The sequence below is a fragment of the Homo sapiens genome, chromosome 9 (genome assembly GCF_000001405.40).
Source record: "Homo sapiens chromosome 9, GRCh38.p14 Primary Assembly".
Classification (NCBI taxonomy): domain Eukaryota; kingdom Metazoa; phylum Chordata; class Mammalia; order Primates; family Hominidae; genus Homo; species Homo sapiens.
Window position 1 is genome coordinate 135,545,592 of NC_000009.12, and position 14,205 is coordinate 135,559,796.

Genomic DNA, 14,205 nt, shown 5'->3' on the forward strand with positions numbered 1-14,205 from the left:
CTAGGAAGCTCGAGTGCAGGGTCCAGGTGGGGAAAATCAATGCAGAGTGGGTCCCAGAGTGGGCGGAAGCTTGGGCTCTAGGGCGTGCGGGACTCAGCTGGCAGCAGCCCCACGTCTCTATGGTTCTAAAGCCCAGTCCATTTCTGCTCAGCAGGGAGATGGCCAGTTCCCCAGAGGACTTGCCCAGGGTCCCAGCCGTGGCCCTGGGAGGGCTCAGGGGTGAGGGAGGAAGAATTCCGAGCCGTGGGCCCTCCCTCTGTGGCTCGGGGTGCAGACGTGCACTACCCTGCCCTGTCCTCTGGAGTCCTCCGGGCTCATCCAAGTGGGCGCATTTGGATGCAAACCCTGGACAGCATCGTGTGTCTTTTCTTCTCTGGCTGGCACTGAATTGCTGTTCACCAGATGCCAGCAATGAGGACACTCCCCCTCCCGGATGCAGGACTGGTTGCCACCATGGGGAGGGGTGCACCGTGCCACGTGCTCCCAGGACACTGGCCAGGGGGCTATAAAGAACATCTCGAGAGGAGCCAGCACAGCCTTGTTCAGACGCCCAGTGACCTGCCGAGGTCGGCAGCACAGAGCTCTGGAGATGAAGACCCTGTTCCTGGGTGTCACGCTCGGCCTGGCCGCTGCCCTGTCCTTCACCCTGGAGGAGGAGGATGTGAGCTGGGTTGGCGTGGGCGGATGGAGGAGCCAGGTGGACTCCTGGGCAGGGGGCAGTGCCAGGGGCCCTGCTTTAGGAGGTGTCACTGAAGGCTGGCTTCTGACCCCGTGCTCCCAGCCTGGGGTGGTGGTGGAGGGGTCCTATTGTTCCTCCAGCAGACACGGCCCCCCGAGGCCCAGGGCCGGAGCAGGCTCGGCTCAGGGGTTCCTGCTGCACTGACGCCTGAAGCCCGAAGGTCTCGCAGGGTTGGGCCCTGTGGAGGGAGGGCTCACCTGGTGCTGGGGCCCGGGGGTCCATGGGGTGCAGACATGCCCTCCTTCCACTGGGGGCTGGGAGCCCTGAGCAGGGGGCTGGCTCTAACTCACTCCAGCTGAGCTCTAACTAAGGTGCAGGAACCCAGCCTGCCTTTAGGGGTGGCAGCCGGGCACCATGGGTGTCTGGTTATAGCTGCAGGCCTGAGTGCCAGGGTCAGAGTAGAATCTGGGCCACCCATGGTGGGCTCACGGCCTTGGCCTGCTCCAGATCACAGGGACCTGGTACGTGAAGGCCATGGTGGTCGATAAGGACTTTCCGGAGGACAGGAGGCCCAGGAAGGTGTCCCCAGTGAAGGTGACAGCCCTGGGCGGTGGGAACTTGGAAGCCACGTTCACCTTCATGTGAGTGTTGCCCACTGCAGGGCCCCTCAGGCCACTTTCGCTCCCCGCCCCAGACCCACCTGGTGCCCATTGCCCCATCCACATTTCGGGTGTTGGGAAGAGTCACCCCCTGCCTTGGAGGGAAACAGCCAGGACATCCTGAAGCTCGGTGGGGTGGGGGGGCAGTGGAATTTTCAGGTTGCCGGGTCAGGGCCATGCACCAGGTGAGCTGAGGATGGGCCAGGTGTGTCCTGGGAGCCGCTGCCCGAGTGTCTCCTGTTTTCCAGGAGGGAGGATCGGTGCATCCAGAAGAAAATCCTGATGCGGAAGACGGAGGAGCCTGGCAAATTCAGCGCCTGTGAGCCCCTCCCCGACCCCCCACTCCCCATGCCCAACCCCGGATGCACCAGCCCCACTGCAGGTGGAGAGTGCCCAGGCCACACTTCTGCCAGGGTCCCAGCCCTGCCCACCTCCAAGGAGGGGCTGGCCTCTCCTTCCTGGGGGGCTGGTGGCCCTGACATCAGACACCAGGTGTGACAGGCTTGTCCACAGTAGAGATGGACCAGATCAAGCCTGCCCTCTGGGAGGCCCTAGCCATTGACACATTGAGGAATCCGAGTGTTAGGGACCAGGAGGCCGAGGGTTAGGGATGGGAAGCCAAGGCTGAGGGTTTGGGATCAGGAATCCGAGGGTTAGGGACAGGGAAGTGGGGCAGGAGCAGCTGCTGGAGCTGGGAAGGCCGGACTCTAGTCCTGGACGTGCTCTGGCCTTGTGGCTCCATTACTTGCATTGGGACCTTCCGAGAGGAGGCTCCTGCCTCCGTGTCCGGGTCCATGCTGTGCGGAGCAGCCAGGCCTGGCTCAGGCTGTCCAGGGCACCTGGGTGACCACTGAAACATTCCTGAGTGTTTCTTCGTGTGGTCCTGAGTGCTCTCTCCGGGAATGAGGGCACTGAAGACCCATCTTCTCTGTCATCTACAGATGGGGGCAGGAAGCTCATATACCTGCAGGAGCTGCCCGGGACGGACGACTACGTCTTTTACTGCAAAGACCAGCGCCGTGGGGGCCTGCGCTACATGGGAAAGCTTGTGGGTGAGGGGCCCGCTGGGGCCTGCATGTCCTGCCCCATGGTCTCTGCCTCCAGAAGCCAGTGGAACCACCATCATCACGCCCTGGCACGGGGGGAAAAGGAAGCCCCCTGCGCCGGCCTTCGTGTGCTAGGCACCAAGCGCTGCCCTGGATGGCTGGTCCAAGTTCCTGAAGTGGGAGTGGGGTGGGCCAGGCAGGGACAGACACGGCCCTCGGTGACATGAACCTGCCAAGGGCCGCTTGTGGGGTCTCAGGTGTAGGGGCCTCACCTTAAGGGGGAGGTAGCATCTTAACAGAGCTCTTCATGGGGCAGGGACTCTCCAGGGCGGCAGGGCAGCCAGTGCCTCTGGGACACAAGGTCCCTCCAGGTGAGGGTTATGACCCTGCAGAGTGGCTTTGGGAGCTGCCCAGGTCCCCCTGGGGTTGCTGAGTGGCTTGGACCCTGCCACTGTCCCCTTTCCTGGGGACCTCTCACCTGGGCGGTGGCCGTCTCCTCTGTCCCCAGTCCCACCCCTGAGCTCTTGTCCATTCTCAGGCCTCCTCTCCCCCTTGCCTGGTGCTGGACAGTTGCCATCTCTTCTGTCCCCAGCCCCACCCCTGAGCTCTGATCCACTCTCGGGCCTCTCCCCCGTCCTGATGCTGGGCCGTGGTCGTCTCCTTTTAGCATCTGCTCCCTGCAGGGCCGTGCCGCTGTCCCCACCTTGGCTCACCTGGCCACCTCACCTGCAGGTAGGAATCCTAATACCAACCTGGAGGCCCTGGAAGAATTTAAGAAATTGGTGCAGCACAAGGGACTCTCGGAGGAGGACATTTTCATGCCCCTGCAGACGGGTGAGGACGGCTGTGCCCAGTACCCCGTGTTCCCCTGTGTCTCTGTGTGATCTCCAGTGTCCCATGACCCCCATGTCCTCCCATGTCCCCCGCATTCCCCGTGTGCCCCGAGTCTCCTCGCAGGGGCTCTGGGCCCTGCTTAGCATCCTCGTCGTTGGAGGGTCTGCACTCTGGGCTGCGATGCGGTCTGGGGCTCCGCGCTCTGGGCTGCGATGGGGTCTGGGGCTCCGCGCTCTGGGCTGCGATGGGGTCTGGGGCTCCGCGCTCTGGGCTGCGATGGGGTCTGGGGCTCCGCGCTCTGGGCTGCGATGGGGTCTGGGGCTCCGCGCTCTGGGCTGCGATGGGGTCTGGGGCTCCGCGCTCTGGGCTGCGATGGGGTCTGGGGCTCCGCGCTCTGGGCTGCGATGGGGTCTGGGGCTCTGAGCCCTGGGCTGCGATGGGGTCTGGGCCCTGGTCTAGGGCGCCTTCTAATCCCTGGGTTTTTCTTGGTCTCTGCAGGAAGCTGCGTTCTCGAACACTAGGGTGAGTGAGCCTTTAGGAGGGCACTGGACAAGCCCAGAGTCCTGGGTTCCCGGGGTTCGAGGGTACATCTGCTCTGGCCCTTCCCATCCCACACAGCCAGGGAGACCCCCCCAGGGTCAGGCACGAGGTTGGCACCTCAGAGTCTGCCCACCCAAAATTCCTGGGACATTCGGGAAGTCCTTTGTTTTACCATTCCTGCACCTGCCAGCCCGAGTGAGGGTCCTCCTCGGCCTTTCCACAGCGAGGCCTCCCTCCGGCTCCCTCAGGTGTCAGCTCGGCCCATCGCCCCCTGCACCTGTCCCCACTCGGTCTACTCCCCCCCACCCACTCACCAAGGATGCTCAGAGGCCTGCCCAGTCATTGGAGGAGCTGAGGCTGCTCTGGAGCCCCGAGGCTGCCCAGCAGTGGCCGATGTGGAAGCTGCAGAGCCTGGGGAGGGAGCTCTGGGCCTGGCCTCTGCCCTACCCTGCAGCCTCCCTGACCTCTGCTCCTCTTCCCAGCACAGCAGCCCCCGGGTCTGCACCTCCAGAGCCCACCCTACCACCAGACACAGAGCCCGGACCACCTGGACCTACCCTCCAGCCATGACCCTTCCCTGCTCCCACCCACCTGACTCCAAATAAAGAGCTTCTCCCCCAGCTCTGGGCAGGCCTATCTGTGGGGACGGAGGGGCTCGCACCGGCTCCCTGGGAGGCCTGCTGGGAGGGGGAGCCACAAGGGAAGCTGGGGAGATGTTGGACCTAGCAAGGGCCAAACCACAAGAGGCACGATGTCCAACAGGCTGTGGGGCTGCGTGATGTCCTGGAGGGGCCTCCGGAAGAGCCGCCCTCGGATCTCAGGCTCAGCTTGGGACGGGCAGGGCTCTGGGCAGGAGCACTTGGGAAGCCACTGGGAGGGCGGGAGTGGGGACACGGCGTCAGAGCTGCAGCAGTGGGTCCACCACAGGGCTCCCGCCCCGGGGGTCTCAGTGGGATCCTCCGAGCGGCCCCACTTTAGCAGCCTGGGCTCAGTGGCAGCACTGGAGAGAGGGGCACTGGCACCTCCGTCATCACTCCTGGAGCAAGGCAGAGCTGGCCCTGTTCTCTGAGATCCTTGGCCCACCCTGGCCTTCTTATGGTTTGTCCAGAGCCAGGATCTGTCCAGACACTGGGGCTGCAGGGATGCGGGTATGTGGGGAGGCCGGCCACAGTGAGGGAGGATAGGCCACCATACCAGGGTGATAAACACGCCCCAGGAGCCACAAACCCACGTGGGACAGGCCTCCTGGGGGATGAGCCTGCAAAGCAACCGCCTCTCCCCAGGGCCGCTGGCTGTGCACCAAGCGACCACTGCCTGCCTGCCGCCCAGACTAGCATCCTCGCCTCTCCATCTCCTGCCTGGACGTGAGTCTTGGCAGAGGCCACAGGATGGCCCGGAAATGGGCCAAGATAGCAGGGCCGAGGTGAGCTGAGGCGGAGCCAGCCTGGTTGTCCACGGGCCACACGTGGAGGGCAGGGCAGACCCCATCCTACAAAGACGGGTGAGTGGTGAGGTATCTCCCTTTCCCCATGCTACTATGCAGATTCCAGAAGGGTTAGGAGGTCTGTGTAAAAATATAAGAAATAGGTAAAAGTCTTTACCTGATGGAAGAGGATTTGTGGTGCATGTAAGCAGTGGGGAGACTCACTGGGAAAGACGGAGATCGGACTGCAGAGCGGCGAGTGTGGGTGCAGGGGTGATGCTGGCGGGAACAGGAGTCAGCACGTGAGAAGCTGGGAAGTGGTTCTTACCTATGTGGAGAAGCTGGGAAGTCGGTTCCTGCCCATGAGGAGGGCCTGGCACTGCAGCTGGGGTTGGTTCCTGCCCACGAGGAGGGCCTGGCGCTGCATCTGGGATCGGTTCCTGCCTGGCGCTGTGGCTGTGGGTTTCCCGCATCCCTGCCCCAGCTGTTCGTCTGATCATCTGCCGGCCGGGTGACACTGCCTCCCTCCCTGCATTCTGCCAGCCCAGGAGGAAGTGAGGCCTGTGGGCCCTGGTGGCTCCTGAATGAAACTGAAGGCCTGCGTTCATTTTGCTCCCACAGTAGTGACTGGATCTCTCCTTCTACCACGTGCAATCGTGCAAGTCCCTCTGCTGCAGGGACAATGGAGGTGGGACTTTCCTGGGGCAGCTCAGGATGGGGGATAAATGGGTGGTGGAGAGGCCGGAGGAGCAGAGCAGAAGTGGGGTCCCCGGCCATGCGGCCACCCCTGCTGACCGGAGAGCTGAGCCTGATCCTGGTGCTGCAAGCCCAGAGGCCAGGCTGGTTCCCACCGCCCCCACGAGGTGAGGGCCTTGGGCAGGGCAGGGCAGGGAGGGATGCACGTTTCCGAGGTTGGGCGCCTGGACAGACTTAGAGTCTCAATGCTGTTGGGAGCCCCAGGGGGACCTCGGCCAGAGCCCACCTCTCGTGTCTTTGCTGACTTCCGCCCGACAGAGAAGGGGGTACCACTGGCTGCCTGGGCAGCTTAGGGAGGTGGGTGGAGTATCTCTGGGATGAGGTCCTGCCCAACCCACCCTGCCCGAGACACCGAGACACCTTTCCTCACCTGCCGGGCTGTGGGTTTTGAAGAAGCTGATCTCCTTCAAGCTTCTCCCGTGTGTCAGAATTCCACTTGGAATTTTTCACTTTGCGATGAAGGGCTACATTAAAACCACGTGTTTGCCAGTAATGTCAGACTTTCAAGAGCTCATGGTTTGCTTTTTGACGAAATGTAAACCCCTGGAAAGGGTCAGGCCCGGGCCCAGCATCGACAGTAAAAGGGCCCAGCTGAGGCTTCCCTTAGCTTTGTGTCCTCATCCCGGACACGAAAATGACCTGGCCCCAAATATGTGCCCAGGGTCGAGGCTGGTGGTCCAGGCACCTCCGGCTCCCTGTAGTGATACGTCCAGCTCCGGAACTACTCCATCCTGCCCCAGAGCACCTGCCCCTCCCCACCCACTGTGACCCCACGTCCTTCCCCGTCAGGGCTGGTCATGCTCTGGTCCACCTAGGCCTGAAGACAGAGCTCCCCTCTGCCCTTTCCTCACCAATCCCTGGTCGGCATCCTCCCCCTTCCCCCACACAAGGGCTCTGGGGCCTGCCAGTCCCAGGTGGCACCCACAGCCCTGAGGCCCTGGGCCCCCCTCCCCCGACCCTGGACACAGGAGATGAATGAAGTCAAGTGGTGTGGATCCTCGGGGGGGCCAGGAACGAGGTGGGAGCTGGCCCAGAGGCTGGGGCTGAGCTGTTTGTGTTCAGGACCTCCTGATTGTCTTGGGAAGGGGCAGTGCTGGTCACTTGCGGGCTGGTCACCCCCCAGCAGCCAGGACTGAGTCATCAGACGAGGCAGCACTCCGGCAAGGGCAGGTCGCCCACCCTTGACGGGTCAGCGCCTAAGCTCTGTCCACTCCTGCCCGGCCATCCTCCTATGTCAACCCCCCAACATAAAGGCTTGACCTGGTCCTTCAGGCCTCACAGGGCGGGCACCCCCGGCAGCCCCTGGCCAGGCTCCTCTTCTGCTGATGGACGCAGGGCCATCTTGGGACAGGTTCTCCTGCCTCCCCTGAAGCATCTCTGGCCCCTCATGCTGACACTAAGGAGACCAAACCAGACACTGTCACCACACCCACCCCACGCCTCTGCCTCCCACTCCGCCTCCCGGACCCGCCCCCATGCCTCTGCCTCCCACTCCGCCTCCCGGACCCGCCCCCACGCCTCTGCCTCCCACTCTGCCTCCTGGCCCCGCCCCCACGCCTCTGCCCACCCCCCAGCAGCCTCCTGACCCCGCCCCCCTTTTCCTGGCCCACCCCCGAGCCCCTCAGCCCTGTTCCTGGATGGTTCCCGCCCACCCACCAGCTTTTAGGAAACTCGCACATAAAGTGTTGGGCAGGAAACATGCCAATCCCTGCGGAGACGTGGACCCGCCCACTGCCTCCCTTCACGTTTGTCACAAACCATCTCAAAAAGGTGGCATTCCGGATGCTCCTCAGCTTGTGCCCCCAGCCCAGCTCCCTTCCCAGCTCCCTCTGCGTCTTTTCCACCCCAACCCTCTCTCCCATCTGGTCTCTGAGCTCAGCCTCACTCACTCGGTGCTGAAAATGACCTCTTCCAATGTTATTTCAGCAACATGGCAGCTTCCGGGCCTCTCCCAGACAACCTCACTCCCGAGGGTCCTGGTCCCAACAGGGATATCCAGGTGAGTCCAAGCGTACAAGCTGCTCCCATCGGCTGAGCTCTGTGCTAGGCACTGTGACACCAGCTTTTCATGCCTATATCGCCTACTCCTGGAAGAACCCAGTGGCGTGGGCACTGTCCTCATTTCTATGCAGAAACAGAGCCTTGGGATTAAGGATTTTGCTCGCGGTTGCACAGTCACGAAGTGGACCAGGCCGGGGCAAGGGCAGATCCAGGCAGGAGGAGCTTCAGCAGTGGAAGAATTTGCAGACCTGGGACACCACCTTGCCAGGGTGCTCCGGGGGAACAGGGGACCTCAAGCTTAAGCTCACAGCTGCGTGGGAAATCTGGCAAAGGAAGGGCACCAGGCCAGCCTGAGAGAGGAGAGAGGGGCCGTCGGAGAAAAAGAGAGCCCTTTCTCTCTTCGCTGCTGGGACTCTGTGTAGGTCAGACCCTTTGAGGTTGTCTCATGGGTCCCTGACCCCCGTCCCTTTTGGCCCTTTTCTTGTGGCTTCCTTGTGGATGGGTCTGCTACTGGGCCCCAAGCCCACCCCGCTTCCCTTGCTCCATCTGCTGTGAACCCAGGGTGTACTCATCACGTCAAATTCCATATTTTCCATCTCTAGGATTTCCATCTGGTTCTTTATTCCCCTTTAATTTCTTAAAACTTCACTGAGGTGAAATTCACAGTGTGTCAAATAACTGTTTTGAAGTGTACAATTGTGTAGCAATGAGGCCACACACCCTTGTGCGTATCCATGGCCCCTGCCTAGTTCCAAAACGTTCCCGTCGCCCCCAAAGGAAGCTCCGTCTCCAGCAGCATTCAACCCCCACTTTCTGTCTCTAAGGATTTACCTATTCTGGACCTTTCCTATCAATGGAATCATACAACATGTGACGTTTTGTGACTGGCTCCTTTCACTTAGCATGTTTTCAAGGTTCTTCTGTGCTGTAACATGGACCAGTACCCTGTTCCTTTTTATAGCTGAATAATATTCTACCATATGAATAAACACTATGCTTTTTTTGTTTTTCTTTTGAGATGGAGTCTTGCTCTGCCACCCAGGCTGGAGTGCAGTGGCAAAATCTTGGCTCACTGCAACCTCCACCTTCCAGGCTCAAGCAATTCTTGTGCCTCAGCCTCCCTAGTAGCTGGGATTACAGGTGCACACCAACATGATGCCAGGCTAATTTTTGTATTTTTAGTAGAGATGGGGTTTCACTATGTTGGCCAGACTGGTCTCAAACTCCTGACCTCAGGTGATCCACCCGCCTCAGCCTCCCAAAGTGCTGGGATTATAGGCATGAGCCACCTCGCCCAGCCAACCCCATGCTTTTCGTCCACTCATTGTTTGATAGACACTTGAGTTGTTTACATCTTTTGGTTCTTCTGAACAGTGCAGCCACAAATATGCACACACACAAATATTTGTTTGAATTCCTGTTTTCAATTCAAGCAAAGTTTCTGGGTCATGGGATAATGATGTGTTTAACTTTCTAAGAAGCTGCCAATTGTTTTCCACAGTGGAAGCACCGTTTTCCTTCCTGGGTCTTTTCCATGCCTTGCACTCTGCTTCTCCTTGAGCTCTTGCCTTTCAGTACCCTCTTGAGCACATAGAGATATTGCTAATGGGTCTTTAACACCCTGATCTGCTAAGTCCACCATCACTGTCATTTCTGGATCTGTTTCTATCACTCGATTTTTCTCCTGGTTATGTCTCATATATTCTTGCTTCATTGCCTGCCTGGTAATTGTTAACTGGATGTCATATTTACTTTGTGGATTTCACGTTGTTGGTTTCTTGACGTGGCAGCTGGCCTCCAGGATGGCTTCCGTTGTGTGATGCCTTCCATTGAGTGTGGGCTGGACCTGGTGACCCACTTCTAATAGATATGACAAGGAGGAAGGGATGGCGCATGAGTCAGACACAGAGTGTGACATCAGCCCCACTGGTCCTCATACTGGTTATGGTGGGGAACCATGTCACAAGCAGCCCCAGGAAGAGGCTCATGTGGCAGGAGCCTGAAGTTCCCACCAGCCATTGTGGCCCACCAGTTCCAAGACATTCTCCAGAGCCCAAAGTCCCAGCCCAGAACATGACCACAGCCTCATTGCAAACCCTGAGCCAGAACCACCCAGCTGGGCCACTCCCCACCTCCTGACCCTCAGAAATCATTGTTTGAAGCTGCTCTGTTTGGAGACAATTTCTTATGCAGCAAGAAATAACACACTCCATTTTGTTTTTCGTTAAATAATGTTAGACTCCGTGTGGCTACAGTTAAATTATTTTTAACGTGTTGGATCTTCCCAATACTTGCTTTTAATTGTATTCGAATGGGTTCAGAACAGCCCTTGCTAACCCCGCTACCAATTCAGTCTCTTTTTGAGAATTCTGCCCGCTGCCTCGTGTATTCTGAAGGCTTTCTTCTCGGCTGTGTGAGTTCTAAGAGTCACTCCATTGACCATTTCCGAGGTTTCCTTCCTGCCCCTCTGTGTGTCTCCTGAGCGCTCCGTGTAGCCCTTTCTCTCCGAAGCTTTGCCCAGCAAATTCGAGTCCCTCCGCCTCCCCACACTCTAACACTCTTCTCCTCAGCGTGTGTGGGGTGGCGCCCTGGGATCTGTTTGGGTTCGTTTGCCCTGAGCCAGGCCTTGCTGGGGTCACAGAGCTCAGCACTCGTGTTGTGTCTTTCAGGGATCATGATCCTTCGCGGCCTGTTGTCAAATATCCAGAAAGCACTGCTTCCGAAATCTCCTGGATTTCTAGTTGTTTAAGGTGAGCAAATACGATACCTGCTATTGTATGTTAGCCAGGAGGGGAAGTTTGAGTTGTGTTGTTATTTTTTAGCTTTTGTTTTGAAATAACTATAGATTCATGGGAAGCTGCAAAAATAGTACAGAGGGGTCCTGCTGTGCATAGCTACAGTCAGACCTCACATAACTACTGTGTGAAGATTTACATAACCATACATCGTGCAGAACCAGGTCTTATTCGTATTTCACCAGTTTTCTATTCATTTGTGTGTGTGTGTGTGTGTGTGTGTGTGTGTGTGGTTCTATGCAATTTTTTACATGTGTAGATGTGTGTAACCACTGCGGCAATCAACATATAGAATGGTACATCCCCACAGAGATCTCTTGTTCTACCCCTTTACAGACACACCCATTCCCCAGGCCCAGCCCTTGGCTACCACGAATAAGCTTTCCATTTCTTTTTTCTTTTTCTTTCTTTTTTTTTGAGACTGAGTCTGGCTCTGTCTCCCGGGCTGGAATGCAGTGGCGTGATCTTGACTCACTGCAAGCTCCGCCTTCCGGGGTTCACGCCATTCTCCTGCCTCAGCCTCCCGAGTAGCTGGGACTACAGGCGCCTGCCACCACGCCCGGCTAATTTTTTCTACTTTTTAGTAGAGACGGGGTTTCACCGTGTTAGCCAGGATGGTCTCAATCTCCTGACCTCGTGATCCGCCCGCCTTGGCCTCCGAAAGTGCTGGGATTACAGGCGTGAGCCACCGCGCCCGGCCTCAGCTTTCAATTTCTATAATGTCATTTCGAGAATATTGTATAAACAAAGTCATAGAGTATGCGACCTTTTGGGGTTGGCCTTTTTCACTCAGCGTAGTTCCCTTGAACGCCCTCCTGCTGCTGTGGGTATCAGCAGTTCACCTCGTTTTATGGCTGAGTCTCCCATAAGGCAGATGTACTCGTCTGTCTAACCATTCATTCACGGATGGAGTTTTCCAGTTATTAGCTATTACAGGCAAAGCTGCTGTGGACAATTGTGTACCGGGTTTTCTGTGTCCATTTATCCCATTTCTCGGGATAAATGCCCAGGAGTAAAACTGCCAGGCTGTATAGTAAGCATATGCTTATTATTTTTGTGTTGTTTTGTTGTTTTTTTACACGGAGTCTTGCTCTGTCACCCAGGCTGGAGTGCAGTGGCGCAATCTCGGCTCACTGAAGCCTCCACCTCCCAGGTTCAAGCGATTCTCCTGCCTCAGCCTCCTGAGTAGCTGGGACTACAGGTGCACACCACCACACTCAGCTAATTTTTTGTATTTTTAGTAGAGATGGGGTTTTACCATGTTGGCCAGACTGGTCTCGAACTCCTGACCTCAGGTGATCCATCCCCCTCTGGCCTCCCAAAGTTGGGATTACAGGCGTGAGCCACCACTCCTGGACCAGCATATGCTTAGTTTTAAAAGAAACTTCCAGCTGGGCGTGGTGGCTCACACCTGTAATCTCAGCACTTTAGGAGGCCAAGGTGGGAGGATCTCTTGAGCCCAGGAGTTCAAGACCAGTCTGGCCAACATAGTGAGACCCAGTCTCTATTATTTAAGCTTAAAATTTTTTAAATAAAAAACAAAAGCAACTTCCAATTTCCAGCATGGCTGAACCATTTTAGAGCCACTCAAAGTATGCATTTCTCAACATTTTGAGAGATTCAGTTTGTCTCCATCCCCACTAATATTTGGTTTGGTCCCTACTTTTCATTGTAGCTGTCCTAATAGGTCCCTACTTTTCATTGTAGCTGTCCTAATAGGTCCCTACTTTTCATTGTAGCTGTCCTAATAGGTCCCTACTTTTCATTGTAGCTGTCCTAATAGCTGGGCTGTGATAGCTCACTGTGGCCTTAATTGGTGCTCCTTGATAGTCAATGACATTGAGCATCTTTTTAGGTGCTTATTTGCCACCCATAGATCTTCTCTGGGGAGATGTTCCTTCATGGTTTTTGCCCATTTTCTAGGTGGATTTTATTTTTGCTGTTGAATTTTCAAAGTTCTCTATATCTTCCAGACACCAGTCCTTTGTTGGATATGAAACTTTCAAATGTTTTCTCCAAGTTTGTAGCTTGCCTCTTCATCCTCTTTTTTTTTTTCTCTCTCTCTCTCTCTTTGTTTTTTGAGACGGAGTCTCACTCTGTCACCCAGGCTGGAGTGCAGTGGCGTGATCTTGGCTCACTACAACCTCTGCCTCCTGGGTTCAAGTGACTCTCCTGCCTCAGCCTCCTGAGTAGCTGGGATTACAGGCATGTGCCACCAGGCCTGGCTAATTTTGTATTTTTAGTAGAGATGGTGTTTCACCATGTTGGCCATAGGTGGTCTCGAACTCCTGACCTCAGGTGATCCGCCCACCTCGGACTCCCAGAGTGCTGGGATTACAGGTGTGACCCATCACGCCCGGCCCCGTTCATCCTCTTAACAAGGTCTTTCTGGAGCAAGAGTTTCAGATTTTGATGCAGTATGATTTACCAGTTTTTTTCTTTTGTGGATCTTGCATTTGGTGTCAAGTCTAAGAATTCTTTACCTAGCCCTACGTCCTGAAGATTTTCTCTCACGCTTTCTTCTAAAAGTTGTATAGTTTTATGTTTTACTTTTAAACTATGAGTTAATGCATATGTCAGGTGTGAGTTTTAGATGGAGGTTCTTCGTTTGCATGGGATCGATTGCACGTGATGAATTGCTCCAGCACCATTTGTTGCAAAGACTGTCCTTCTTTTAGAGGGACTCCCGCTTGCCAGGCCTCTGGTTTAATGAAACATGACCAGAGTGACTCCATCTTAACGTGAATAACTAGACACTCACAAGGCACCTATAAGGTTATATAACGAGGCTATGCTGCTCGATACTGACTACGACAATTTCCTGTTTCTCTGCCTACAGGACACCACCACCCCCATCCAGAGCATGATGTGCCAGTACCTGGGTGGGTCTCACAGCACATGAGCTCAACGTGGGTGAGAGGCAGCAGCTACTTCCATGGCTGGGAACCCTGGGGAGCTGACAACTGGCTTCCTGTCCACCTCAGTGCCTGTGGGCTGGTTTTTTCTTTCTTGGTTTTTTTTTTTATTTGTTTGTTTGCTTTGTTTTTTTTGAGACAGGGTCTCATTCTGTCACTCAGGCTGGAGTGCAGTGGCGTGATCTCGGCTCACTGCAACCTCCACCTCCCAGATTCAAGCGATTCTCGTGCCTCAGCTTCCCGAGTAGCTGGGATTACAGGCGCGAGCTTATGGTCTGAAAATACCCGCATACTAAGCTGACCACCAATTATAACTGCAGAACATTTATGCCCATACGAGGCATCTCCCACCAAGCCTGGAGAATGTACCGATGACCTGGGAGTGCAGGGGGTTATCTTTGCTCACAAATAACGTCAACGAGTAGGCTGAGGCTGAAGGGCAAATGGTCATTGATCACACTAGGAGCCCCTATCTTTAGCGAGTGCATCTGCATGATCCAGGTTTCACTGTAGCTCATTACAGCTTCTTACAAACAGAGGCACTCACAGAGGACGGG

At 56.3% G+C, this 14,205-nt stretch overlaps 1 protein-coding gene and 1 long non-coding RNA gene across 5 annotated transcripts; both read left to right on the forward strand.

Annotated features, from left to right (window-relative positions):
• On the forward strand, positions 535-4,378 carry OBP2A (odorant binding protein 2A). 4 transcript variants are annotated; one of them, NR_120603.2, is made up of 7 exons: positions 535-661; positions 1,187-1,320; positions 1,587-1,657; positions 2,280-2,390; positions 3,068-3,218; positions 3,717-3,740; positions 4,246-4,378. NR_120603.2 is itself a non-coding variant. In NM_001293189.2 (7 exons), exons 1-7 carry the CDS (start codon positions 590-592, stop codon positions 4,351-4,353), a joined length of 687 nt encoding a protein of 228 aa, NP_001280118.1. In that variant the 5' UTR covers positions 535-589; the 3' UTR covers positions 4,354-4,378. The 4 variants fall into 4 exon arrangements, 3 of the variants coding, with proteins under 3 accessions (NP_001280118.1, NP_055397.1, NP_001280122.1); NM_001293189.2 differs by having other exon boundaries at positions 3,052-3,218; NM_014582.3 differs by having other exon boundaries at positions 3,117-3,218.
• Positions 8,079-13,725, forward strand: LOC107987040 (uncharacterized). Its single transcript, XR_001746586.1, has 3 exons — positions 8,079-8,360; positions 10,608-10,688; positions 13,573-13,725. It is a non-coding gene; the product is annotated as an uncharacterized LOC107987040 (long non-coding RNA).
• The last annotated feature ends 480 nt before the right edge of the window (positions 13,726-14,205 follow it).

Coding starts and splice junctions, on each gene's coding strand:
- OBP2A (NM_001293189.2), top strand. CDS start 590: ATGAAGACCCTGTTCCTGGGTGTCACGCTCGGCCTGGCCGCTGCCCTG. Junction 1,658..2,279: donor GCCTGGCAAATTCAGCGCCT/GTGAGCCCCTCC, acceptor TGTCATCTACAG/ATGGGGGCAGGAAGCTCATA. Junction 3,219..3,716: donor TTTCATGCCCCTGCAGACGG/GTGAGGACGGCT, acceptor TGGTCTCTGCAG/GAAGCTGCGTTCTCGAACAC.